The sequence below is a fragment of the Homo sapiens genome, chromosome 20 (assembly GCF_000001405.40).
Source record: "Homo sapiens chromosome 20, GRCh38.p14 Primary Assembly".
Taxonomy (NCBI): Eukaryota; Metazoa; Chordata; class Mammalia; order Primates; family Hominidae; genus Homo; species Homo sapiens.
The window spans coordinates 10,410,994-10,434,927 of NC_000020.11; the positions used below are offsets into that span (position 1 = coordinate 10,410,994).

The 23,934-nt window shown below is 39.5% G+C and overlaps 3 protein-coding genes across 5 annotated transcripts in view, besides 4 other annotated features; all 3 read right to left on the minus strand.

Annotated features, from left to right (window-relative positions):
- MKKS (MKKS centrosomal shuttling protein) overlaps nucleotides 1–23,229 on the minus strand; it is a 33,214-nt gene extending 9,985 nt beyond the window's left edge. Inside the window, exons 1-3 of one of the 3 annotated variants that reach the window (NM_170784.3) lie at nucleotides 23,115–23,229; nucleotides 9,535–9,765; nucleotides 1,537–2,938 (exon numbers count right to left, since the gene is read on the minus strand). In NM_170784.3, coding sequence (NP_740754.1) covers nucleotides 1,537–2,521 — 985 coding nt within the window. In that variant the 5' untranslated portion in view covers nucleotides 2,522–2,938; nucleotides 9,535–9,765; nucleotides 23,115–23,229. Of the gene's footprint in view, nucleotides 1–1,536; nucleotides 2,939–9,534; nucleotides 9,766–20,690; nucleotides 20,933–23,114 lie in introns of those variants that run through there. The other 2 variants (NM_018848.3, NR_072977.2) reach the window with 2 other exon arrangements.
- On the minus strand, nucleotides 2,715–23,229 carry LOC128706665 (uncharacterized). The gene is made up of 3 exons (NM_001394148.2): nucleotides 23,115–23,229; nucleotides 9,535–9,765; nucleotides 2,715–2,938 (listed from the first exon to the last, which is right to left on the minus strand). The coding sequence occupies exon 2, from the start codon at nucleotides 9,742–9,744 to the stop codon at nucleotides 9,553–9,555; it is 192 nt and encodes a 63-aa protein (NP_001381077.1). The 5' UTR covers nucleotides 9,745–9,765; nucleotides 23,115–23,229; the 3' UTR covers nucleotides 2,715–2,938; nucleotides 9,535–9,552.
- Nucleotides 2,715–23,229, minus strand: LOC128706666 (uncharacterized). Its single transcript, NM_001394149.2, has 3 exons — nucleotides 23,115–23,229; nucleotides 9,535–9,765; nucleotides 2,715–2,938 (listed from the first exon to the last, which is right to left on the minus strand). The coding sequence occupies exon 3, from the start codon at nucleotides 2,892–2,894 to the stop codon at nucleotides 2,742–2,744; it is 153 nt and encodes a 50-aa protein (NP_001381078.1). The 5' UTR covers nucleotides 2,895–2,938; nucleotides 9,535–9,765; nucleotides 23,115–23,229; the 3' UTR covers nucleotides 2,715–2,741.
- Nucleotides 8,305–9,504: an enhancer, noted in NCBI's record as "P300/CBP strongly-dependent group 1 enhancer chr20:10399946-10401145 (GRCh37/hg19 assembly coordinates)". NCBI's record gives its function as "activates an origin of replication core promoter dependent on BRD2, BRD4, P300/CBP, MED14 and CDK7 cofactors, with strong dependence on P300/CBP, by STARR-seq in HCT116 cells {active_cell/tissue: HCT116}" and the evidence as "EXISTENCE:reporter gene assay evidence [ECO:0000049][PMID:35650434]".
- Nucleotides 17,270–17,319: a silencer, noted in NCBI's record as "silent region_12671". NCBI's record gives its function as "represses an Ori minimal core promoter by ATAC-STARR-seq in GM12878 lymphoblastoid cells {active_cell/tissue: GM12878}" and the evidence as "EXISTENCE:reporter gene assay evidence [ECO:0000049][PMID:35858748]".
- Nucleotides 20,624–21,125: an enhancer, noted in NCBI's record as "NANOG hESC enhancer chr20:10412265-10412766 (GRCh37/hg19 assembly coordinates)". NCBI's record gives its function as "activates a minimal SCP1, AML or CMV promoter by ChIP-STARR-seq in naive H9 embryonic stem cells {active_cell/tissue: H9 hESC(naive)}" and the evidence as "EXISTENCE:reporter gene assay evidence [ECO:0000049][PMID:30033119]".
- Nucleotides 23,076–23,135: an enhancer, noted in NCBI's record as "active region_17542". NCBI's record gives its function as "activates an Ori minimal core promoter by ATAC-STARR-seq in GM12878 lymphoblastoid cells {active_cell/tissue: GM12878}" and the evidence as "EXISTENCE:reporter gene assay evidence [ECO:0000049][PMID:35858748]".

The following is a 23,934-nucleotide window of genomic DNA, read 5'->3' on the forward strand; positions in this document are numbered from 1 at the left end:
GTTTTTTTTTTTTTGATAGGGAATCTTGCTGTCACCAGGCTGGAGTGCAGTGGCGCAATCTCGGTTCACTGCAACCTCCACCTCCTGGGTTCAAGCAATTCTCCTGTCTCAGCCTCCCAAGTAGCTGGGATTACAAGTGCGGCCACCATGCCCAGCTAATTTTTTTGTATTTTTAGTAGAGATGGGGTTTCACCATGTTGGCCAGGATGGTCTCGATCTCCTGACCTTGTGATCCGCTCACCTTGGCCTCCCAAAGTGCTGGGATTACAGGCATGAGCCACCGCCCAGCCCTTTCTGTTTTTTTAGATGTAGTCCTGCTTTGTTGCCCAGGCTGGACTTGAACTCCTTGGCTCAAGTAATCCTCCTGCCTCAACTTCCCAGGTAGCTGGGACTACAGGCATGTACCACACCCAGCTAAAGTGTCCCATATTTTAAAAATGAGTCTGGAAGACCCAGTATTCACAAACTGGAAATTGCCAGATTCATGCAAAGCTAGTAGATATTTAAGGCTATCAGTCTGACTTACCATACCAACAACGAGTTCCAAGGAATTATTTCCATTATTAAGAAACTCTACTTTTGACAGTCATTTGAGTCTTACCAAGGTAGGGCAATAACCCAGAGATATTATGTATTCAACACTTGGCATACATATGGCTCCTTTTTGATAATTTATACTAAGACTTTTATTAAATAAACTTTAACAATGGTTTAAGTCTAGTAACTTAAAAATTGGAAACAATGCAGACTAAATGATCATCTTTCTGATAGATTGTCAAAGCAGTTAAAGGATACTGAAAAGTAGCTCACATCAGGAACTCTTCAGCTTGTCATTTTTCTTTGGCTCTAACAGTACTTATATCTGCTTTTAATTTGCTGAGTTTGTAAAATACAGTGAATTTTTTGCCTATTTTAGTTCTGTATATTACCAAATATATTTCGGTCAATTCAACAAACACTTTAGAACACCCACAGTGGGCCAGGCCTGTAATAGGTGCTGAAAGTAAAAGATGATCTTGGTTCTCAAGGTCAGGTGGGAACAGTTTTGATATAGGTAAAACATAGGTGCATGTACATCCCCCTCCCATTAGAAACAACTACTTAAGGAGAAGTACAGAAGTTTGCTGGAATTATGACAAAGTGAAGAAAAAGGGTCATTCTAGTTACAAAATTACTTTCTAAATATAACATGATTTAAAAGTTTTGTCAATTGAGGCTGAAGAATTTTGTGTAAAGTATGAAAGACCTTAGGATTATGGGGATGTTAGACTTCTCAATAACCTGTAAAATATTTGGGGGTTAGATGATATAGTACATTAGGGGGCTGAAAATACATAGAAAATGGCTATAATCACTGCATTTTTAGTATGTGAACAATACAGGATCTTTTCCAGAAACCTTTGCTGCCAGAAATGATACTGACACATGCTGGGTCAATTTTTCAAGATGTTAACAGTGACACAAACCAAAAATATCTCTGCTCAAAAAAGTGTGATTTATTAACTGTAAGAGGCAAAAGCAAAGAGTGATTTTTACCTGTCATTTTAGTCAGGGGTTCCATCAGAGTCACTCCAATTCTGTCTATGGCAATAATACGATGCATATTGAGAAACTGCTTCAAAGATGGATGTATAACTTTTTGGCACAGGACAAGATCTACGTGGTCACTGATTAGCTGCCTTCCTAGGTTAAGCAGCTGGTCCAAGACTGCATTTTCAAGAGAAACCCCATAACTGACCACCACAGTTCCTTCTCCAGTGTCAGAAGTGTCTCCGGATAAAGTTGTACAAAAGAGTGCCACCTTGAGGGCAGTTGATTTTTTGATAGGTAATAGCCTCATTAATTGAACTTCTGACATTTCAATGAGTATCCCAGGTAATACAGTGGAATCTATAACTCTTTGACCTTTTAAAGGTACAATTAAACTCTTTCCTAAAATGATGTGGCCTTCAGCATTTTCTGGAATTGTAAGCAAAAAGGCTCTCAGGATCAAAGCACTGACATGCTCTGTTTCCTTTCTGGTGAGCATACAGGCAGGTTTACTTGTTAATATACTACGCACCAAACAAAGGAGGATCTGAGTACTACTAAAGTCCACTGGGATTCGACAACCACAGGTCTCAGACTTGAGATAACTGATGCAAAGACTCAAAAGATGTTTATTTAATCTAATGACAGTGGTGGGTGTCAAGCCTAATCTCTGAACATTTTCAATCAGGTTGCAGCAAAGAATAGCTGTGAATAAGCCACAATCACTGAAGCTTGACACATGATTCTGTATGGAGGCTGTCAGGATCTTTAAAATGGGATGTGTGACCAAAAGGTGACTGAGCAGAGCTGAGGACTGTGAGGTTGTACACACGTAACCTCCAAAGCCATTGTGCAGCTGCTTCAGCCTACCTGAGGGGCCATAGCATGATGTTACAATTCTTTTCAAGACAGAAAGTGTGGTCCTGACTCTCTCAGTTGTCAGTGGTTCACTCTTACACAATGATGGCTTCTTAGCTTCCAAACGAGACATCTTACTTCAGGTGGTAACTAGTGAAGACCGTTTTTATTTTGTAAACCACATTTTTCTATTTATTGCATTATCACGTTTTAACATTAAAAATTATTCTTTAGGAATTAAAGTATGAATATGCAGCATTGTGGCTATAAAATCAAAAAGTTCAATGTTTATGAAGCTAATCAGCATAGAATGATTTAATGACAAATTAGTAATTCCAAATATTTATTTTACTTCACTCTTCAATACTCTTTTGTTTGCTTTGAGACTGAAATTTTACAGACTGCTTTGCAGACCTCTGCAAAAAGTATGTTCCAAGATGGACACCTATGAAAGATATCCCAGCTACAAGAAGCCAGTTCTTTCTAATCCAACTGGTATTTTTCATCTCTTCTTTCGATATGAAGCTCAGATTCAAAGCTGCTTCTTTACCTAATAAATAATAAAAAAAACATTTTAGAGAAATACTTCCCAAGCAGTTTGTAGACTGCAGTTTAATAATTTATTCTAATGCTCTGCTGCCTTTTTAGAAAAAGGAACTACTAACTGGCACAAACGTCCAGAAAATGAGAAAGGTAGACCAACTTTGACTTAAAATTCCTTTATTCTTCAATAAATCCCCTCTACAAGAAAAAGTGCTTGTATTTCAGTGATTCTGTAAGGCACAACAACATGGCTAGAAAGCTTACAGCACAGTTATTTGAATATGGCATGCTTCTAGGAGAGAAATGCTACGATATAAAACAGAGAATTAGGTCTCTGAGTCTTTTTTTTTTTTTTTTTGAGATGGAGTTTCGCTCTTGTTGCCCAGGCTGGAGTGCAATGGCGTGATCTTGGCTCACCACAACCTCAGCCTCCTGGGTTCAAGCAATTCTCCTGCCTCACCCTCCTCAGTGGCAGGGATTACAGGCATGCGCCACCATGCCCAGCTAATTTTGTACTTTTAGTAGAGATGGGGTTTCTCCATGTTTGCCAGGTTGGTCTCGAACTCCTGACCTCAGGTGATCTGCCCATCTCTGCCTCCCAAAGTGCTGGGATTACAAGCGTGAGCCACTGTGCCCGGCAAGTCTCTGAGTCTTAAAAGAAGTCCCAAATATCTTTATTCTCCAACATGAAGATTTAATATTATGTTTTTATCTATAATTGTGGTTTGCTTGGAAACTTTAGGTTTGAACAGAAGTGCATTTATATCAAGTCATGTTTGTAAATAATTATAAAAACAAGATAGCTGTTGGCATGTCTACTGCAGGAACTCACTAATGTATAGTCTATATTTAGCTGAATAATTCTGCACAACACATTGTACCAAAAAACAAACCATGTTTTAAACACCTGGCTAAAGTCAGAGCTAATTTTCTATCATTTTACGTTATCAATCAATGATTTTCAGTTTTGGAAATCCTAGTCAACGAATCCTCCCCAAAGCACTGGTTAATGACAGTACATGCAAAAACCAAGGGATATGCTGGATAACAACAACAATAAAAATAGGATCTGAGTTGCAATTCAATTTCAAAGTCTAAATACCATAAAATGTTATATATCAAAAGGACATGTAGAAATACAATTCTAGTTTCCTTAACAAGGTAGTGTCCTTGCTAAAAAAAAGTGTGCCTTGAGGCATAAATTCCTGACACATTAATAATAATGTGTGAAAAGAATAAAAACGTTAGATCATAGATCTTATCTGTTGAGGCCGGGTGTTTTAAAGGTATATTATTCGTTAGTATTTCCAGGAATATGCTGAGTATGGTAGTGTCCAGGAGAGCATTTAGCATAAATGAAACAAATCTATTTAGCCTAAAGTACTTCCTAAAAGTAGGCTACAGCATAGTATGGTGATCAGACCAAAACCTTGATTTGAAGATGTGCAAAGAGGTGGGCAGAACAAGGGAATGTTATGCAAATGTTATTTTGGTTACCATTCCCAATTTAGCTAAAGGGCTGTAACCATGGCAACTGGGCCCAAATAAAGGGCAATGATGGTCAGCTTTCTTCCTGTGGTGATAAAGCTATTGTCAACTTTTGTATGGCATGAGGAGGGAAAGAAAAATCTGTTTATTGATGCCAGGAACAGCCAAGGTACTTAAATATTTCAATGGCTATTACAGATTCAGCAAAATCTGAGAAATACATTTAAATGAAACCTCACAAAGTGACTTCTATATGTTAATTTGCACGTTAAAACTTACATACACACCCCACAATAAAAACTATGATTAAGAAAATCGTTTTTCTAGTTAGAACATTTTCAATACTTAATAGTGTCATGTAACTTTTCAAAAACAGAATGCCATGTTGGCACCTCTGTCAGTCTTACAGTAGTGAGACCAGTACACATATCTTTTGGCTAGTATTTCATTAAAATGACAAAGAAATCACTGAAAGTGGTAGTGACTCCCAAATCATTTTAAAGATGCCAAAACTTGTTGACCTGTGGTCACAGGTCTAGACCTGAACAAAAGAAGGTACAAGAAAGAGAAAAGAGAAAAAAAAACCAAACCACTGGGGCTGGTTTATAGAACATGTTTGGAAGTATCAGTTCAGCTCTATTAAAACTCTTTCTTCCTAAACAAGGTGCTCCATAATTCCAAGAGTTACCATTAGACGAATGGTCCTGACTATTCTTGGATGCACGGGCTTGGCAGATGGGTTTTTGTTGTTGTTGCAGTGATGGATAACTTAATTAAAATAACAGTAAAACTTGCATGACTTCTTCTAAATTAAGAGGTGCACTATAAAATATGATTTAAAGAAAATACAAACAGGTGAAAGTTTTTCCTAAAAGCAAATGGAGTTCTTTGGCAAAAAGAATGATTATAGGTATGAGGTAAGAAATACACAAGGTAAGCTGGGGTCCTTTTCTGCCCAAAAGTAAGGATGTTATTAAAGACTACGTGGGTCATATCACAAGGACAAAGGAAAAACAACAACAGGAGTCAACTTGGAGAGGATCCAAAATGGGACAACTTTAGCATTAAAAAAAAACATGACGACAGCAACAGATTAATATAACTGAAATAAATGCAAACCCACAGGTTCATACTAACACCAAAAACAAAAACCCTAAGTGGCTTGAGCACTCATTATTATAAAAACCAATAAAGGGAATTACAGGGATAAAACATTAATCTTGCTTTCCTTGTATAAATGCATTTTGGGGTAACTGAATAGTTGACGATGGAAAGTTGTTCCAGCTAATAAATGGAGAAGGAATGATAGAATTTGAGCAGCATCATTTGGCAACCCCTAATGAAATAGTGCATTAGACCCATATATGGTGGTTGGTAAATTAAGCCTATGGACCATATCCAGACTGCTGCCTGTTTTTGTAAATGAAGTTTTATTGGAAAGCAGCCATGCTCATTAATTTGTGTACTGTGTATGAGTGCTTTTACACTACAACAGAAAGCTGAAGGGTTGGTATAGACACTATATGATCTGCAAAGCCTAAAATATTTACTATCTGATCTTTTATAGAAAAAAAGTTTGCCAATTTCTAGGTTACAGCAATGATAATGAATAGTCGCTAATAATTATTAAGTAAAAGATCACCTGGCCAACATGGTGAAACCCTGTCTCTACTAAAAAAATACAAAAAACTAGTCAGGTGTGGTGGTGGGTGCCTGTAATCCCAGTTACTCGGGAGGTTGAAGCAGGAGAATCACTTCAACCCAGAAGGCAGAGGTTGCAGTGAGCCGACATCACCCAACTGCAGCCTGGGTGACAGAGTGAGACTCCATCTTAAAAAAAAAAAAAAAAAAAATCAAAGGGGAACTTTATAATGGAAAGAAACACTGCTAACTTGCCTGTTAATCTTAGCAACACTGGCTAGACGCAGTGGCTCTTGCCTGTAATCCCATCACTTTGGGAGGCCAAGGCAGGAGGATTGCTTGAGGCCAGAAATTTGAGACCAGCCTGGGCAACACAGCAAGACCCTGGTTCTAAAAATATTTTAGAACTTAGCCAGGTGTGGTGGCGGATGCCTATAGTCCCAGCTACTTGGGATGCTGAGGCTGGAGGATGGCCTGTGCCCAAGAGTTTGAGGCTGCAGTGAGCTATGATATGTTACTGCACTGTAGCCTGGGTGACAAATCAAGGCCTGTGCCCAAGAGTTTGAGGCTGCAGTGAGCTATGATATGCTACTGCTACTGCACTGTAGCCTTCTCTGTAAAAAAAAAAAATCAACATCATCATCAAAAGTGGATCAGACATTATATATGAAACAACATGATTACCTAGGATCTATTCCACAGTACCATCCATGAAGTATTCTTGTTCAAAAAGTAAATTAAAAAAACAAATGAAAGTAGCCTCTTGATATAATTACGAGATTACAGGAAATAGGGGAGAGAAAGAGGAAATTGTTAAATGACAAGATGAGGAAGCAATCAGCCAAACTGAGAATGTGGGAAATTTTTTAAAAGGCAGATTTAGGAGGGGAATTGAAAAGAGATATTATCTATCAAATGCAATACGTAGACCTTGTTTGGATCCTGATTCCAACAAACCACCTGAAAAGATTTTTTATAGACAAATTCAGAAATATAAACATGGCCTTGGGTATCAAATTGTAGGTAAAGAGTCACTGTTAAGTTTTTCTAGGTGATAATGCAAATGTGTTTGTGTATGTGTGTTTATTCTTACTGTTAAAGACACATACAAAAGGACTACATAGTGGAGCTTAAGATTTGATTTAAAATATTCTAGCAGTTCAAAAAACAGAGGAAAAGATGGATAAAAGAAGACTGGCAAAACGCTGTTAACTATTAAAGCTGGTTGTGGCGAAATGCCCTTAACTATTAAAGCTGGTTGTGGCAAAAGGCCATTAACTATTAAAGCCAGTTGATGGATACTTGAGGGCTCAATATACTATCCTCTCTTTATCTTGAGGCATGTATGTAATTTTCCATAATGAAAATAAGAATAGAAAATAAGAGACAAATAAATGCATTCTTTTGATGTACTTCAACTATTCGGAATTTGTGTTTAACTTACTCTAAATCCGGCTCTAACTTTTGCTTACTAAAAGCCTGTTTAAATATCTGCTTCTGCTTGCTTGACTGGAAATGTTAGCCTCTAAAACTTTTAACTATTGCTGCACTGGCATCTAAAATCTCTTACTACATTCACCTAACATTTTAGAGGAGATTCTTTTCTCAGCTCTATTTTTCCTCCAAGAGTATTTCTTTTTGCATGAGAAGAAACTACTTGATTTTCTTCCTCCAAAGTTTGGCCATACCTGGCCTCCAAACTGTTAAGACATCTTTTTGTTCTTTACTTCTTGTCATAAGTACAATATACATACATAATATAATGGTCTTACTAGTCTGAAAGACTATATATATAAAAATCCAGCACCTAATAAATTCTCTAACTCCCTGCTTATATATATTAAAACTCTTCCTATAAATACAAATTTTATATAGAATGTCCTAAAGTTACTCTTTTAAGTTGTTAAGCTTCTATGTTACTACCTGGCTTTTATATTTAATAATTGTCTAATATATTAAGCTATGCTCTTCCACTTCTGCTTATGAACATTTAAAAGTAAAATCTTGATTTAAAATATTGTTGAAACCAGTAATTATACCAAAAGTCAAAATCTCAGACCAAGGCTTATAAATAAGGAAAATCTTACTGAGGTTCTTCTTCCATAAAGAGCAGAACCTTACACTCATCTATCTTATAACAAAACTTAGAGCATATTATTCACCTCAAGGTTAAAAAGTAAATTATAATAGAAAATGCTTTACAATTACAGGGTCACAGTTCTTTATCTGAAACTCCTTGGGCCAGATGAGTTTCATAATTCAGAATTTCTTAGATTTTATAAATACAATATAGTGTATATAACATACATAATCAATATAATCATAATATAGTATAACGCTATATTATAGTAAATCAAACGTGACAAATGCCAATAAAATTTCTGCAGTGAAACTCAATTTTCATATTAAGTGGAATAAAAACAGTGACCTCCCCCATTTATCTATGAGGGATATGTTCCAAGACCACCCAGTGGATGCCTGAAACTACATATAGCACTAAACCCTATATATACTATGTTTTCTTCTTGTACATACATACCTATGATAAAGTTCAATTTATAAATTAGGCACAATACTCCTGTGCTTTGGGTACATTGTGAAGTAAAGTAACAGTTACCTGAACATAAGCGCGGAGATACCACCACAGTTGATCTAACCCAGAGTGCTGCTAAGTGACTAACGAGCAGGTAGACAGACAAGGGAATGACTCACATCCTGCGTGGATGAAGTAGAATATCCCAGGATTTCATCATGCTACTCAGAAAGGTGCATAATTTAAAATTTATGAATTGTTTATTTCTGGAATTTTCTATTTAATATTTTCAGACTAGGGTTGACTGCAGGTAACTGAAACTGCAGAAAGCCAAACTGCGGATAAAGGGAGACAACTGCACTGCAAATTGCCTCATGTCAGTTAAGATCAAGTTTTGCTGTCAAAGGAGTGAGGATAAAATGTTTTGGTTTTGAGAACTTTTTGAATTTTGGAATTATGGATAAGGGACTATAGACCTAAATTATATAACTTCATCCTCTTTATTTCAGTGACTCTCAAAAGTAACAAATTATGGTCAAGCTAAAATAGTTGATGTTAAGAAATGAATACAATTAGTTTTGTATTGTTAAAAAAAAAAGAACACTAATAGAAGAAAATAATCTTGTATAAATTTGGACTTTTGTGATATGTAATGGTAAGGAGTCAGGGGCTCCTTTGCACACATTCATGATCCTGGTGATGCTGCTAGCAAAACTGCTCTTTCCCTTTGCATTCAATTGACTGCCAGGCAAGTGTCAAATGTCTCTGCACAACGAACTTTTCTAGAAACAACTGCAGAATAGTATTTTGCCAGTGGGTCACAATAAAAACAACAGGTAACTTACCAATTTAGGCTTTTCCTTGCCAGAGATCTAAAAGATTGAGTTTCCCATTGTTGGAATGTGCCATATGATTAACCAACCAGATTAAATGGAACTTACCTGAAGATTGCAAGCCTGCTACTTCCCCTGGATTTGGCTCTTCTGAAGATTTGAAAGTCCCAGACTATCTTGCTCAGGAATGTCGTCGTTTTTAGGTATTTGGAAAACAGGGCTGCTTTTGATTCTGTACCACCCCAAATGTATGAGCCCAACTAAAGGGACCATAACAACCAAAACTTTGTAGTCTCTCCACAAGTTCCGAAGGCTCATAGTACTTCAGCATCAGTGTACCTAAGAAAAGGTTACAGTTAGAGGAAAAAAACCACTAAAACCCATAACCTCCCTTTAATTACATTTCTAAATCACTACAAGTAGCATGCTGTACTCTAACAAATGCTGACTGTTAAACATTTTAAATTATAATACATTGCAATGTTAATAAACAAAAAGAGACATGTCATTGACCCAAAGGGAGCAGGCAGTCAGCCTTGGGAAACTTACAGAGCAATACTGACTTTTTGGCAACAATTGCAAAGGAGCAACATTACCTGCTGGAAAAGCTATATGAATCTTTGAAAACACACATGCATGGAGTGTTCTTTAAATATATTAATGTTCTCTGAGCCACAATAGAGTAAGAGCCTTTTTTTAAATTATATTTTTTAAAAATTATAATTACAGGCTGAGGGTGGTGGCTCACGCCTGTATTCCCAGCACTTTGGGAGGCTGAGGCAGGCAGATTGCCTGAGGTCAGGAGTTCGAGACCAGCCTAGCCAACACAGTGAAACATCGTTTCTACTAAAAGTATTAGTCGGATATGGTGGCGCATGCCTGTAATCCTAGCTACTCTGGAGGCTGAGTCAGGAGACTTGCTTGAACTTGGGAGGTGGAGGTTGCAGTGAGCCAAGATCATGCCACTGCACTAGGCAACAGAATGAGACTCCATCACAAAAAAAAAAAAAAAAAAATTACATTTAGTCACAATTTTAACAGAAGAATCAAACGGTAATCCACAAATATGCAGTAAGAATTTAGGTTCTATATTCTGACAGGATGTAGTGATAGTGTTTCAACTGCGATTGCAACAGCTGAACATGGATTCCAATTGCAGTAAAAGATTTCTGGCTTGAACGCTACAAATCAGAATGAATGTAATGCCATTTCCACATTTATGTGCAAAACTACTGCATTTTAGAGTGTTTGCCCTGAATCACTAGAAAACCCTAACTTACAGGGTTATCGACCTAGTTTAGACAAAGAAACTGGGGCTAGACAGTTGCCTGGAGTTACAAAGTTAGTTAGCTTTTAAAATATATATATATATATTTTAAATTTGGAAAGGATGGAAGTAGGGCCCAGAAAGATGCTATGTTTGATGATCTGTTGGGTTTGGGAACTTGAATCTGGACAACCTCTAAAGACTCCTTATACTCTTAATAAGGACTGCTCCACCATCTATGAGACATGCTATGAACTTGGCTCAATTGCATCTCTGAGTTTTAGTACCATGAAATCTCCTAAATTACTTTATTTTTGTCTAAATGCCATTAGAAAAAGGTCTGAAAAGAATTTCTTATTCCCCCTTTTAAGACCAAAACACAATAGTACTGAGTTAAATAGTCTGAACCATCTGTGTTCTGTGTATACATACTAAAAATAATAAAAGATGTTATCTTATAGCTATGAACATGTTATTCTTAGCATTATAAATCATTTCTCCCAAAGGTCTCAATTCATATTTTATAAGGACTTTGTGGCAAAATTTTAATTACTAGATAGAGGAAACACGACCTGCTTTGTAAATGAAAGTATTTTATGGCCTTTTCCTTTTCTAACGTACTGTGGTATACTATATACTTTTTGTAACCTTTAGAGAATACACCTTTTATTGACATGCTTATGTTCCATTTTTAGAGGGAATCAATTACAAATAACTGTATCATAATTAAATTTCATTGTGAAGTCCAAAGGCAAAAGCCTTTGGGAATTTAAGGGTACAATAAAATAACTGGGGGAGGAATTTAGAGTAAGGAGGGAAGAATTCTATTAAGGGCTACTTACTTATAGGAGGGACAGAGGCTGCACCAAAGGTCAGCTGGCCTGTGTTGATTGACATATGGCATTCTTGTTTGCAAACACCTTAACTAAAGGCCTAGAAGATACTGTTATTTATATCCAGTCTCAATACTTAAGGTGACTTTGGCACCTCTATTCCCCTCAACATGAGGTTATCAAGTTATATTATCTTTTTTTTTTTTTTGTGAGACAGAGTCTTGCTCTGTCACCCAAGCTGTAGTGCAGTGGTGCGATCTCAGCTCACTGCAAGCTCCGCCTCCCAGGTTCACGCCATTCTCCTGCCTCAGCCTCCCGAGTAGCTGGGACTACAGGTGCCCGCCACCACACCTGGCTAATTTTTTGTATTTTTAGTAGAGACAGGGTTTCACCGTGTTAGCCAGGATGGTCTCGATCTCCTGACCTTGCGATCCGCTCGCCTCGGCCTCCCAAAGTGCTGGGATTACAGGTGTGAGCCACTGCGCCCGGCCCTTCAAGTCACATTACTTTTAAGAGCCATTTCTGCCATTCACCATTTACTTCTCCATGATCATTAACATAATTCAACATTTGTCAGCTTTTTTCTGAACTATAAACTCAAGGAAAAAAAACCCTAGCTTATAAAAAGAGATTAGGGCCAGGTGCAGTGGCTCACAAAAGTGTAATCCTAACACTTCGGGAGCCTGAGGTGGGCGGATCACTTGAGCCTAGGCAACGTGGCAAAACCCGTTTCTACAAAAAATACAAAAATTAGCTGGGCATGGTGGCGCACGCCTGTAGTTCTAGCTGCGTGGGGGGTGCTGAGGTAGGAGGATCGCTTGGACCTTGGGAGGCTGAGGCTGCGGTGAGCTGAGATAACACCATTGCACTCCAGGACAGGTGATGAAATGCGATCGTTTCAAAAAAACAAACCAAAAGCAAAAAAGAGACTGGATAGGATAAAAGGATGTAATAATAAAATTGAGATTTGTAACTCAAGAACTAAAATTAGGAACAAATTAAATGACAATCTGTAACACTAATGTTTGGGGAAGTGTTGTACTATTCTCTCCAGCAAAGTGGTTAACAGCATGTAATGACATAGTATGAACCCTCTTTGAGAAGAGTGAAAATTATATAGGGTTAGCTCCCTATAATACTTAGTGAATCTTTAGGTCATCTCCCAGTTAAAGATAAAAGAAATGCTCAATTTTATGTATATTGTGCTTAACAGTCTATTACTCTTTCCATTAGGATAACTTAAGGATCGATGAATCTTTTTCTAGATTTAGGTTTAGTTAAACCTGGAAATCAGTATCTATTTTAACTGAAAACTCTATTTGCTAAACATCACTGAGACTCAGTACAGTATTTCCTGGTTAGTAAATGATGTAGACTGATTTAATGATTAATTGCTTTAATGTTTACTGAACATCTACATGTCCCCACTTCCTCAAATTCTCCATATCTCATATATTGATTTGGCTAATGGGGGTGAGAGAGCAAGTAACTATTTTCTGACAGATAATTCTGTTGTCCTTTGAGAGGCTTGGGAAATGATTAGGATCAGTATGGAAGGGCTTTTCACGTTACAAACTATTTTTAGAGTTTTCATTTAATTCACATAAAAACAATAAGTATCACACTGTACATATAATAGTCCCTTTTCACTGAGCAAGATGGAATTAGCACTTTAAAATGACATTGGCATATAATGAGACCTCATCTCTATTTTAAAAGAAAAAAATATATATTAAATAAAAAGGAAAAAAAAAGGCCAGGCACAGTGGCTCACACCTGTTACCCCAGCACTCTAGGAGGCTCAGGCAGGGGGACTGCTTGAGCCCATGAGTTCGAGACTGCCTGGGCAATACAGTGAGACTTCATCTCTATTTTAAAAGAAAAAACATATATTTTTAAAAAATGACATTGGCATATAACTTTAAACTACTTCATTTCTTTCACTTAATAGTGAAAAATCTCCAGTACATTGGATGTATTCTATTGCCTGCATAACCTCTTCTCAGGGCAAGACACATTAGACCTTACTATACCTTACTAGCAAAGCTCATTGCTAGTTTTACAAAAAAAAAAATAGTTTTCAAATTTTATATTTGATATGGTAGTTAGCGAGGTAATGTGTTATTTATTTTGTTTATAAACTCTTGCAGAGCTTTTACTTACAATCAAACATATTTTGGGGATACAATTTAAATTTAGCACTTTTTTTCTTCTTAGTTCCTCTGTGGTTTTTTACAAAATGAAAATTAGAGCAGGGCACGGTGGCTCATGCCTGTAATCCCAGCACTTTGGGAGGCCGAGGCAGGTGGATCACCTGAGGTCAGGAGTTTGAGACCAGTCTGGCCAACATGGTGAAACCCTGTCTCTACTAAAAATACAAAAAATTAGGCTGGTGTGGTGGCAGGCGCCTGTAATCCCAGCTACTCGGGAGGCTGAGGCAGAAGAATCACTTGAACCTGGGAGGCGGAGGTTGCAGTGAGCCAAGATCATGCCATTGCACTCCCACCTAGGCAACAAGAGCTAAACTCCGTCTCAAAAAAAAAAAAAGAAAGAAAGAAAATTAGCATTACTGTTCTTTTCTAATAAATATAGTATAGTATAACCTTACTTTTTAAAGTTAGCAAATATAGAAACAAGGAAAAGAGAGCTAAAATCTTTTGGGTGTAACAAAAATGTGATCATGATACACATGCTGTTTTGTAATCCCTCTTGCAAAGAATATAAATCTCCATTATCATTTTTAAGAGCTATACAGCATTTGATTATAATGGCGATATCCTAATTTGACCAATCTGTGATTGAAAGAAATTTGAGATTTTTCAATGCTTTATTGCAAAATATGCTATGGCAATAAATATTTGTGTAAATACTCCAGAGTCCATGCTCAAAGCCTCTATGTGCTGCTTTTCAGAATTAACAAATTTCTTAAAAATTAACTCATTTTTCAAATGAACTTGACAAGAAAGTTTTTAAAACCTTGACTTTTAGAAAGGTTCATGATACTGAGAAGCAGACAGACTGGGAGATCCAATTTGTGAAACAAACTTAAGCTATTTACAGTTTGCCTTGAGATGGTCCTTCCCTCAAAACACTTGGCAAGTTGTTCCAAGAGGCATGGACTGTCTTGTAGAGATTCTGAGTCTAAAACAAAGATTTCTCAAGAATAAGCTCAAAATGATCAGATTTGATGAGCAGTAACTGGTTAATCCCTAAAATAAGTTAGTGTTTGATGCTCATTTATTGAACTTTTCAAGTTTGGAGCAAAGCAACAAGAGAAATGAGATTTTTTCCCTTCCTTACCCTCTAATGTACTTGCCACTGCCCTTTCTTTCTTTCCTGAATCTTCTTTAAACATATTTCTAAAAAAAGACTCCTTTAGAAGGATAGAGAAATCAAGAGACATGAAATGAGATTAGTAAATTTTAGATCAAGTAAAATAGAGTTGATATTTATAGTTTCATTTACTAAAATGTCTTTTGTTAAGTTTAGAAAAAGTTTAGAGGCAATCTTAATGTGGATTATGCTTTTCATATTCTTCTCTCAAAAGTATGGTCTTAAATTATTCAAAAGTTTCATATTTTTCATTTTGTTTTGCTTTCATAGCAACTTTATGAGATCATTTTATAAATGAAGAAACATTAAATGATTGATTCTAAGATTACTGTCAGTTAACTGTGGCATTCAATTTAGATGTGAAGTCTTTAAAGTCTTGCCTAGTACTCTACTAAGCAATTCTTCAAGTCAAGAATTAGTGCCCCAGCTTGGGCAGTACTGTCTATCAGGATTTCCAGTGTGTGATCACGGATGAGGGGAACATTTGGAGGGCGTGAGGCACACCCTTGAGGATCACTGAGGTCAACTAGCTTGGGGCATCATGCCTGGCATGTTGTTCTTTTTTCTTTTTTTGGGACAGTCTCACTCTGTTGCCCAAGGGGGAGCGTAGTGGTGTGATCTCGGCTCACCTCCGCATGCCAGATTTAAGGGATTCTCGTACCTCAGCCTCCCAGGTAGCTGAGATTACAGGCCCACGCCACCATGCCCGACTAATTTTTGTATTTTAGTAGAGACGGGGTTTCACCATGTTGCCCAGGCTGGTCTCAACTCCTGGCCTCAAGTGATATGTCCGCCTCAGCCTCCCAAAGTGCTGGGATTACAGGCATGAGCCATGCACGCCCCGTGGCATGTCCTTGGCTGATTTTCATGTCAGGTATATAAAAGGTTAACAGCTGTCATTTCACTTGTCCAAAATTAGAGGGCATCTTACAGTTCTGGAGGTAAGAAAAACAAAAAAATTAGAGGGCAAAAGAGTCTATATCCTCCAAAAACACATCCGTGACCTACTAATGGTTGAGATTAGCTGGGTTAGTTCAGTTTTCTTTAATTTAGTTCTCAGTATAGAATGACAGCAAGAGATTAATGAACAGAAGAGGGAGAACTTGCTATGCTTCTACCTCATTATAAATACTGTAATCTTTTAGAGTAGCTTAAAGGCCAAGAAAAGAAAACACTGACACACACACACACACACACACACACACACACACACACACACACACACACAAAGTAAGGTTAAGGGCAAAAAGGCAAGCAAGCTTCCTAGAACTTCCCAAACAGCTGGATCTAGCCATCAGATTATTCTATCTAGCATAGTATTAGTTAAAGCCATCAAGTTTTTTTAATTGCTTCCTGCAAAATTAGGCCTAAAATAACTTGGATGCAGGGAATGTTACATCAAATGTTCTCATTTTGCCTATTGGGCTTGCTGGGCGCCATCTGCTGGCCTTTTGGACACAGTGTAAAACGGATTCTTTTTGGTCTTAATTGCTGTTGTGATTTGAAAAAATTGTAATTTTTAAAAACTTCCACTGAATGTAATTTAATCATGAGAAGAACATTAGATAGAATATTAAAAACCAATTAACCCAGCTCTTGTGATAATGAAACTTTATGAAGTTTACTGGAATTGTACTATGCCTTTTCTTTTACAATGACAATGTTGGCTTTAGGTATTTGTGAATTCTTCATTTCTGAATTCTCATCATCAACATTCAAAAGTTATTTTTTATCCTCAATTTTTAATACAGCAGTTTGAATTGTGGCATTTTTTCTGTGTACACAATAGAAAAGACTGCACGTGGTCTTCAACTGTGCTATGAAATGAACTGACATGGTAAACAGAACAATCGTTTTCCTTTTTCTTTTCCAACTATATCACCTAAAATAACACTCATTTTGCTGGACTTCTCCAGTCTTGTAAAAACACACACCCCAAAAACAATACTGTAATTCTTAATGAACCCATGGATCATAATTGAGTTCTAAAGTTTCCATTCTGCAAATCCTACCACCTTCCCCACCAAACCATTCAAGGTCAGCTTGACCTATATCCAAGAGCTGGGCTGCTAACAGCGTAACTGAGTCAGGAGTGGATCTGCAGTCAGAAGGCCGAAACAGGTATGCGTAAGTATCTTATGTCTTTTGCTATTCCTCCCTGCTCATTGCTGTGAATTTAATGTATTTGTAAATAAAAAATATACTGAAAGCATCATAAGTCTTATATGGGGGTTTCACTAATTGTAGGCAGTCTCAAATATTAAGCAAGTGATTAACAACTAATGAGAAGTGAAAACTAGCTTACCAGCAAGCTGTGGTTTATCACAATGGTTGTAGTGGTTTATAGAGTTGTCTGAGAATCCTGTCCCCTTTCACTGTTTTTACACCCTGGCTGCCATTTGATGCTGGTGATTGGTGGAGGAGAGGGGAGTAGGTATCATGCAGATAGCCAGATTGTTCCAGATCAGATACCTAGATGAATGGGCCTTTAGTGCTACAGCAAACACTTTATGTTCCTGGTATGTTCTGAATCCCTAAAGAGCCCATTTCTACCCTTCATCATTTTCAAGATTTTAATTGTATGCTCCACCTTCATTTCTGCAGATAACCTATTGGCCAGAGGACATTATAGCTCTTTAGGTATGAACACCTCTAACTTGTTGTCCCCTTATGTGCACCTTAGCTCTCAACTAAATCTTCTTTCAGCTGGGCGCGGTGGCTCACGCCTCTAATTCCAGCACTCGGGGAGGCTGAGGAAGGTGGATCACTTGAGGTCAGGATTTTGAGACCAGTTTGGCCAAGATGGTGAAACCCCATTTCTACCAAAAATATGAAAAATTAGCTGGATGTGGTGGGTGCACCTGTAATCCCAGTTACCTGGGAGGCTGAAACAGGAGAATCGCTTGAATCCAGGAGGCAGAGGTTACATTACAGTGAGTCGAGATCGCGCCATTGCACTCCAGCCTAGGTGACAGAGCAAGACTCCGTCTCAATAAATAAATAAATAAATAAAACTCCTTGCCTGCTGTCAGAAGAACTGGTATTCCTATTACCTGTGTTCCAGTCCCACTTTCTACTGTGTCTTTGGGGTTCTAACTTCATTATCCCCTCTCATCTACCTCCAACCTTCCACTCTTAAGGGCCTTTCTCTTTTGCATAACTATGACTATTTTTCTCCACTGAAAAGAGTCAAAAACAAATTCCCTAAGGCAACTGCCCTTTACCATCTTCCTTCCCAGTACTACACAATCTCTTTCCTTTCAAATAATGCATCTTTTCCTAGTCACTTCCCATTCCATCTTCAAACCCAAGCAATCTGCTTTTGTTTCATTCTCCATGGAAAGTGTTCTGACCATAAAGATCACCAATCCTTCCCCTTACATAATCTCCCTGTAGCCTTTTGATGTGTTCTTGAGACTCCTAAGTACTCAGGACTCTATACTGTTCCTTCTTAGTCTCCTTTAATAGCCTGCTGGTTTCCATCCACCTATTCATCCTTATCAAAGATCTGTCTTTGGTAGTGTTTGTTTCCTGGGCGGTCTCATTCAATCCCCAAACTTCTATGATCATGCATCCACTCTGGCTCTCACACGTTCATCTCCAGCTTAGACCCACATAATAAACTGCTACTGTACACCTTTGAACTAACCGTCCCCACAAATAGTCTCAATTCATCTCATATAAAAATAAGTCCTCTTTCCCTCCCAAACTGCTGTTCCACCTGGATTTCCTGTTTCGTTAACAAAAAGCATCATCTACTAAGCCATTCAATTCAGAAATCTGGATATACTGGACTCTGCCCTTTTCCTCATGCTCCTCATCAACTCACTCAGCACATCCTGCCATTTGACATAAGTGTTTCTTTACATAATCCCTCCTCCCTAGGGTCACAGTCCAGACCCTCGCGCCCTCACATGACCTCCTTGCTTCAATTCCAGTAGTTCTCAAACTGTGGTCCTCTCAACAGTGCCATTAGCAACACTTGGGAATTTACTAGAAATGCAAATTATCAAGCTGCCCCTCCTGACCTACTGAGTCAGAAACTCTAGGGTGGGGTCCAGTAATCTGTGTTTTAATTAATTCTTTAGGTAATTCTGAAGCTAAAGTTTGAGACCCACTGTTCTAGTCTACATCCACTAATCCATTCTCTACACTTTTAATATAGCCATCTTGCAAAACAAAAAACAAAAAAACAAAAACAAAAACAAATCTGGTTGTATTCCTGCTTTGCTTAAAAGCCTTTAGTGACATTTTTGACTAGAGTGAAATCTAAATTTCTTAGTACAGCAGAAAGAAAAATCCACTAGGATCTAGATCCTGCCTACCAGTTTTCAGAAAGTCAAGCACTTTAAATCATTTTTGTAAGAATGCATTGTCATGTAGTGATTAAGGGATGAGCTGTGGACTCATACCACCTGGCTTTGAATCTTCACTTACCACTTTACAACTGGCTGTGTGGCCTTGGATTAGTCACTTAATCTCATTGTGCTTCAGTTCCATTGTGTGTACAATGTGAATAATAACATCCATATCATAAGCTTGCTGTGCAGTTATCACAATACTTGGCACTTTGTCTGGGCTCAGTAATTGTTAGCTATTATTATTTTGATTATGTCAAAAAGAAAAAAAACATTACTGGAATTAACCTGTAGTATAGCAAGAACTGGAGAGGATTAGAATTAATGCCCAAACTAAGGGAAGTGGTCCCCATAAAGGAAGGCCCACTTCTCTGGGCAGTTTCAGTTAGTTAGCTAAGAATAAAAATACCCAGTCTCAACAGAGAGGTTCAGAGGTCTTTGGGGTTTGACTAGGGTAGTGAATCTGGTAATTAGATTCTAGGATATTATAGGACAGATAACTGTCAAGCTTCTAAAGTGAGAGCCAGGAAAGCTGTGAAGGAAGTCAGAAAACTGATACAGAGCAAAGAAGCAAAGACGGTGAAAAATTTCATGTATGTTTCTCTAATAACAGTTAATAGAGCAGCCAAGTGATCAAATGTGAGAATCCTACAATGACTGAAACTTGGTCGACATTTTCAGACACGCTGTTGGTCTGAAACAACGTTTTACATAAGAGCAAAAGCATTGAGTAATGGCGAGAATCAAAGTCTAACCTCCACCACAAATTAGTTATGGTCTTGGACAAATTACTTCTCTCCTGCCTCAATGTCATGATCTGAAATAGGGGGCCACATTATGAAGAGAACTATATACATTCATAGCTTAGTACAGTGCCTAGCATGTGGGAAGTGCTCAATACACGGCAGCCATTACTTTTATTGGGAGTATATTATCTTATACGAATCATATATAAAAATAGGCACCCCTGGAGGTTCCTGCTTGATCAAAGCAATTATATATTATCATCGAATATTTTGACTAAAATTGGGTTCCAACTTATAAGGTGAGGAAATACTGTAAAGACAAATCCAAACACAGTCATGTATCCCACATTCACAATATTTAGGGATTAGCAATTTTCACTTCAAATATGTACAAGATTAATTCTATCCAAATGCTCACTTAGTGTCTATTAGGTGCTAGCAAGACTACTAGCCTCAGGGGGGAACTACCAAGAAGAGTAAGGCATGATTCTTGTCCTCAAGGAGAATACAGGTTTGAGAAGATAATGGGACAATCTTAATAAAACATAACTCAATGCTGTATAGGGTCAAAAAACCAAACCAAACCAAACCAAACCAAACCAAACCAAACCAAACCCGCACAAAAAACTGCATAAAGTCTTTACCAAGTTGACTCATTTTTCAAAATCATAGTTCTCATTTTTTCCTCTATCCTCCTCTGAATTAGTCTCAATCCATTTTTACTTACTCCATCTTTAGTTACGGCAGGGAGTCAAGATCTAGAAAAACTAGTCACTGCCACCCACGATAACAGAAGGTAGCAGCCACTTGTCTTCTCTGCTATATTCCTAGTGCGTAGCAGAAAAGTAGAGAATCTTGTCCCCTTTGGTCCACAGAGGATGGCTTATTCTTCTGCTTCAGCTCTTAGTTCAGATGTCACCTACTCAGAGAGCCTTTCTCTCAGCACTCAACCTAAAGTGTTTTCCCTCTCCCTCCCCATTATTCTCTAGCACGTGATTCCTTCAAAGCCCTACCTTTGTGATGAATGCTGTGATGTGCCACCCTGACCCCCCTAAGGAATGAAAGGCTTATTTCCCCAGCTCCTGGAAGAGCTGAGACAGACCTCGGCTGCCAGCCTCCGTCCATGATTGACTTGGCTGAAGAGAGTTGAAGTTAGGCCCTTTCCAGGGAAACAGACATCTAACGACAGATCAATCAAGGGGTATAAAAGCCTGGCCCTTCTCTTCAACTTTGAAGGGCCAACCCAGCACTAGAGTTCCTGTGGGACTGGTGGAGAACATCCTTGAGACTTCACTGCAGCTTAACTTTTTCTATTGCCCAATCCTGCTTCCTTTCTTCCTTGGTAATCATCCAAAAAGTCTTCTCTAGTAAATGTCCTGCCTCTAAATCTCCTCAGAGTCTGATTCTCAGGAAACCCAACCTAGGACAATCTAGAAACATCTTGCTCAATATCAATGTGCAATCACCCCTCAGTATTTGGGGGATTGCATCCAGGACCCATGATGGATACCCAAATCCAGATGCTCAGGTCCCTGATTTAAAAATTGTGTAGTAGGCCAGACGCCGTGGGTCATGCCTGTAATCCCAGCACTTTGGGATGCCGAGGCGGGTGGATCACCTGAGGTCAGGAGTTCAAGACCAGCCTGGCCAACATGGCGAAACACCATCTCTACTAAAAAATACAAAAATTAGCCAGGTGCAGTGGCGGGTGCCTGTAATCCCAAACTTCTCCGGAGGCTAAGGCAGGGAGAATTGCTTGAACCCGGGAGGCGGAGGTTGCACAGTGAGCAGAGATCCAGCTTCAGCCTGCGCGACAGAGCGAGACTCTTTGTCAAAAAAAAAAAAAAAAAAAAAAAAAATCGTGTAGTTTTGTACACAACTTGCCACCTCCTTCCATGTACCTTAAATAATCTCTAGGCTACTTATAATACCTAATACAACGTTAAATGCTATGTAAGTAGTTGTTACACTGCAGTGTTTAGGGAATGACAAGAAAAAAGGTCTGCACGTGTTCAGTACAGATGTAACCATCTTTTTTCCCCCAGAATGTTTTTATTTATTTATTTTCTTAAATAGAGTCTCTGTCGCCCAACCTGGAGTGCAGTGGCGTGATCTCCGCTCACCGCAACCTCCGCCTCCAGGGCTCAAGCGATTCTCCTGCCTCAACCTCCCAAGTAGCTGGGATTACAGGCGTGCGCCACTGCGCCCGGCTCATTTTTTTGTACTTTTAGCAGAGACCGGGTTTCGCCACGTTGGCCTGGCTGGCCCCAAACTCCTGACTCAAGTGATCCGCCCGCCTCGGGCTCCTAAAGTGCGGGGTTACAGGGGTGAGCCACCAAACCCCGCCGCCCCAAAATATTTTCTATCCGCAGTTGGTTGAATTCACACATGCGGAACTCATGGATAGGGAGCGTATTGTTTCTCCCCCATCACTAGAACATGGAGTCAGGACCGTGCAAGTCCCTCTTGGTCACTGCCGTATCTACTAACTCGGCAGTGCTGTAGACACGTGTATATCTGTTTATGGATAAACTGAAGATGTTAATGAATGAATGAAACCGTCATATTGAGTCTCTGAAACGGCAACAGGATTTGGGTATGGTCTTATCGGGGAGGAAGACGAGCATGACCTTAGAGGGTCATCCCTACAAGGTCCACAGCCCTGCAAGCCCCGCGGCTGCTTTCACGTAGCTGGCAGGGCCACGCTGCACAACGTCTCTAACGCCGTCGGAGGGCGGCCCCCACCTCCCGACAGCCTGGGGTACACCGTGCACCCTCCAGACAGTCAGGGGCACACGGGGCCCCTCCCAGCGAGGGAGGGGACGGGGAGTCACAGGTTCGGCGTAGAAGGCGGCAGCGCAGGTGGGAGCGTGGTGAGGCGCCACTCCTCCAGCTCTCCCCACCGGCGGGAAGACCTCCTCGCCGCCCGCATCCGTGCCGACCGCAACATTTACCATCGGCAGCTATTTCAGAGGTCGGTCTTTCGCCTCCTACAGAGAGCCAGCCTCCTCCTTGTCCCCGCCCTCAAATATCCTTCAGTGAGGACACCGGTGACCTTTGGGGGTGGAGAGGGAGGCGCCTACAAGCCCCTTCCCCTCTCTTCGGCCGGACACAAAGCGGGCTTTTCCACCTAGAGTCCCAGCGCTCTCACCTGCGCACCAGCCGTCGCGCCGCCCCAGGCCGCCACCGCCAGAGGCCCCAGAAACAGATCTCAAGCAGCCGCTGCTGCCGCGGATCCCGACAACCTTCGCGTCGCGCGAGGGCACGGAGCACGCGCAGCTCTGCGGTCGACGCCGGGCCGCCCCCACTCCGCTTCTCCGGGTTTTCCGTGAAGCTCCAGCCAACAGCGGCCGTCACCGGAAAAAACGGGGAGCGAAGTTTATTCAGCGTATATTCCAGCAAATTGTTGAAACTGAAATTTTAAAAGAACGCATAAAATTTAAATAACATATCAAAATGGCACAGCTTCTGCCTTTTGGTGAGCGCTTGACAATGATTTATTGAATGAAAGAAAGAAATAGTCCACTGCGCTCTGCTCTCTGTCCTGACATGACCAATTACAAAGCGCTTGGATTTGTCGCTCAGCGCCAGTATCCCGCCTCTCTGTGCGGTTGTCTGGAAAATCAGGATTTTTACTCTCCCGTAACTCCCGGGATCGGGTTTGGAAAACGGACATGCGCCGTGAGAGCTAGTTGCCTTCTACTAAAGCATCCGCCCTCAGTCCTTCCTGAGGGCTTACAGGGAAGTGCGGAGTTTCGCAGCTCGTACTCTTCACAGATTAGATAATTCACCCGGCATTTCCCCATCCTGCTTCTGGGTTCCAGGACAAAACTTTTATTCTCTTTTAACATTAAAAAACATATAGGAAGTTATGTTCAAACATGGCTATTTTTATTAAAATTTATCCGGCACTGTGAAAGCTACCTTTCCTTTCTCACAATCTTTCGCACCGAATATATGTTCCATTCTTG